The sequence below is a fragment of the Homo sapiens genome, chromosome 13, assembly GCF_000001405.40.
Source record: "Homo sapiens chromosome 13, GRCh38.p14 Primary Assembly".
NCBI classification, from domain to species: Eukaryota; Metazoa; Chordata; class Mammalia; order Primates; family Hominidae; genus Homo; species Homo sapiens.
In genome coordinates, this window is record NC_000013.11 from 59407205 (window position 1) to 59411236 (window position 4032).

General features: G+C 43.5%; 1 annotated feature.

Moving 5' to 3' along the window:
* Positions 2467-3066: an enhancer, noted in NCBI's record as "OCT4-NANOG-H3K27ac hESC enhancer chr13:59983805-59984404 (GRCh37/hg19 assembly coordinates)". NCBI's record gives its function as "activates a minimal SCP1, AML or CMV promoter by ChIP-STARR-seq in naive and primed H9 embryonic stem cells {active_cell/tissue: H9 hESC(naive and primed)}" and the evidence as "EXISTENCE:reporter gene assay evidence [ECO:0000049][PMID:30033119]".

The window sequence follows — 4032 nt, forward strand, 5'->3', positions numbered from 1 at the left end:
ATTCCATGGTGTGTATGTACCACGTTTTCTTTATCCAGTCTATCATTGATGGGCTTTTGGGTTGTTTCCATGTCTGTGTTATTGTGAATAGTGCGGCAATGAACATTCACATGCATCTGTCTTTATGGTAGAATGATCTACAGTCCTCTGGGTATATACCCAGTAATGGGATTGCTGGGTTGAATGGTAGTTCTGTTTACAACTCTTTCAGGAATCGCCACACTGCTTTCCACAATGGTTGAACTAATTTACATTCCCATCAACAGTGTGTAAGCATTCCCTTTTCTTTGCAATCTTGCCAAGATCCACATTTTCTGCCTTTTTAATAATAGCCATTCTGAGTGGTGTGAGATGGTATCTCATTGTGGTTTTCATTTGCATTTCTCTAATGATCAGTGATGTTGAACTTATTTCATATGCTTGTTGGCCACATGTATGTCTTTTTTTGAACAATGTTCATTTATGTCCTTTGTCCGCTTTTTAATGGGGTTGTTTATTTCTTGTAAACTTAAGTTATTTATAGGTGCTGGATATTAGACCTTTGTCAAATGTATAGCTTGCAAATATTTTCTCCCATTCTGTAGGTTGTCTGTTTTCAGACCTCTATTTGCATAAGGATTGGACTGCTTTAGTTGCTTTGACTAAGTCATTGGATCTACTTCATATAGAAGTAATGTTGAATGCCTACCCTGCCAGAATAGCTCTTATCATTTCTAGTATTCTCTCCACTAGTCTCCTTACAGGTACTCCCCTTTCCTCTAGATCAGCTTTCAGCCCTCTGCTACCAACTAATAATAACAAAGTCTTTACTAATCGCCTCTCCATTCCTACCCTTAATTGTCTGCTTGTTTGTCTTGGGTCAGGTTCCTGGAGAAACCGATTCTGAGACAGATTTGCATGCAGAATTACTGGGGGAAGGTAGTTAGGACCCACACATCCAAGGGACTGAAGAAAACAGGTTTGGAGTAGAAGAAGAAATTGAACTGAGATGTAGTCACAACAGAGGCCAATTGTACAGGGCCTTCTGAAGCTAACATATTTATTCAGTGTTTCCAAATTAAGGCAATGTGGCCAGGGCTTTATATTCCCAAATCCACAGATTATTAGGCAAAGGCTGCTCTAGGAAAGGGTTATAACCTTGAGGACAAAGCAGCTCCAGCAGGCAGAGGGCAATTTCTGGAGAGAGGCTGTGAGCCCTCAGCAGCAATGCTCCCAGAATCTGGGGAATAGGGGTCTTGGACCGGAAGGTGAAAGTGAGCAGTGCCCCAGAGAACCTTTCATACCCTCTCACCCCAATAATGTCAGGAAGAGTTTAGGGTGATGTAACCACCTTTTCTTCCCTCTCCATTTGGTCCAACATCCTTCTGTCATTCCTCCTTGCTGGCAAATTCCAGCAATGCGTTAGGGTCATACCCCAAGGGGACTCCTGCTTCCACTCCTCCAAAAGTGTCATGCTAAGGCAAGCAGCTTAGGCCTAGGGTCTGGTGGTTTTAAATTTTGTGTGTTTTGATAGACTTAAATACATTTTGTGATATTTTTGAAGGGAATTTTTAATAATCATTTCTAATTTCTCTTGCTAGCTTTTAATTGCAAATGCACAGTATTTCAGCTACATTTGGGTGAGATCAATTTTTGTCCACCATCCAAGAAGGCTTACGGCCATTGTTTCTATGAGAAAATGTATATTGAGTTCCAAACACTAAGCTCAAAAGAAGTTCTGGAACAGTGCCCGGGTGAGGACTGCCACACAGGTAATGGCTAAAATGAGCACGTTACAATTGTCAAACTCTTCGAACGCATAGAGAGAGAGTAAAAGCCCATTAAGAGCTGAAGTTGCTTTTTAACTGTGCCTTGCTTAAACTGATGTCTTAAGGCCAAAATATTGTTCTCATCAATTTGTTCCCAACAAATAAATCCAGTACCACATACCCCAAAACAAGGTAGGCTGTTTCAAAAGATCACACATTTTAATGGAATCACACTTCATTTCTGGAACAAGCACATCTTGCCCAAGCAGCTCAGCTGTCATTACAAACAGGATCTAGTCACTGCTCCCTCTATCCCTAGCATTATCCCTGTTTTACTGAAAAGGAAGCTAGCACGAGGTGCTTAAGTAACTTTAGCCACAAACTAGGGATCAGGACTGCAGCAGCTGGTGAAAGCACAGCCTTCCACGGCCTTCACACAGGTTCCTGGCTTCTTGCCCCAGCCTGGATTTCCTCCCAGCTGCAGGGCCTGAAATGTCCCTTTAAGTCTCCTTGGCTCCTTTCACCTGTGAAACAAGCTGAAAACAGCCTTTCCCAGGAAGATTCAGTGTTCATTCACTAATCAAAGAAGAAAAACCCACCACCTCTCAAGGGGGACACAGAACTCAACACAGTTTTTGAGGAGGGCTTTATTTTCCTCCCCAAAGGGAGTCAGAATTTCTCAGGTTTGAGCCTCTCCTATTCTTTTGACAAGCAATATTAATAATCGCCCCAGCTCTCCCCTGGTATAGCTGTACCACCGAGTAAAGCCCAGTGTAGGGGATACGCCCAGTGCAATAATGCTGGCTAAATAAGTACAGTTCATTACCTCCCAACAGTCAAGGAGTTTAAGATCCGTCAATTCATCCCACGTGAGGGAGATTATGTGATTTACATGTTAAAGTGCCCCTGTGGTTTGATTTGCATAGCAAAGACTTTGGGGGCATGGAAACAAAGCATCAGTGTGCATGATGAGAGTACTATTAGCATAGTGCGTTCAGATTTTCAGACAGCCTGGCTAGGCAAACAATCCTGCACCTTCACCACAAGCGTAGAGTTTATACGATTTGACAATTTCTCATCCACAATCAGGAAAGAGGTTAGGGAGTTGGTGTATGGAATGAGGTTTACTAGAAAGGCTGTCTTCTTAAGTACAATAATCTTTCCTTAAAAGACTTCCCTCCTCCCATCACTTTTCTTTTACTTCTTCTTATATTCATTTCAAGGCAGAAATATTCTACCTGATAATTCTGGAAGAGCCCAGCCACAGCCATTTCTGAATGCTGGAAACTCAGGCAGTAGCTCCATCATTGTCAGCCCACCCTCTGTCTAACCACACACACAGATGCACACACACACCACTGTAACCTTACTAAAACCTCCTGGGACGCATTAAGATCTCCCAACTAGAACACTTTGGGCTCAAACTATTGGGCTGGCCTCTGGCAAAATTACAAAATTACTTGAACCCAGCCAGACGTGGTGGCTCACGCCTGTAATCCCAGCACTTTGGGAAGCCGAGGCAGGTGGATCACAAGGTCATGAGATCGAGACCATCCTGGCTAACACAGTGAAACCCCATCTCTACTAAAAATACAAAACAAAACAAAAAAAAAAATAGCAGGGCGTGGTGGTGGGCACCTGTAGTCCCAGCTACTTGGGAGGCTGAGGCAGGAGAATGGTGTGAACCTGGGAGGCGGAGCTTGTAGTGAACCGAGATCACACCACTGCACTCCAGCCTGGGTGACAGAGCAAGACTCCATCTCAAAAAAATAAAAATAAAAAACAAAACAACAACAACAAAAAATTAGTTGAGCCCTTCCAGCTTTCTGAATGGTTCTTCTGGCCATTTCTCTCACTCTTCTTGATTAACTTACAGTGGGAGATGAACCTAACATGAGCCACAAAGAGCTGATGATGTTGCAGGTCTTGCTTCCTATTGTGGGAAGTCCCTCAGGTGTCCAGGCTAGAGAAGGGAGGTTACTGGATGAGCACAGGGTCAGAGCAAATGGTGTCCTCGGGGGCCTATTAGTCTGTACTTGCAGCTTGAAAACCCAAGAGGTGGTTGGTGAGAGAAAAAGCAGGTTTGATCGGAGAGCCAGCAAACAGAGAAGATGGTGAACAAGTGTTCTCAAGTACCGTCTTAAATTTCTCAGTTTACCACAGGGGTTTTAAAGGAAAACTTGATACGGGAGACATGTGGGAGTGGTGCAGGGTGTGGGGTCTGTATGCCTTGTTCCAATGGCTATCTTGGGTAAGAGGTAGACCTAGTTGGCATTATGTTGAC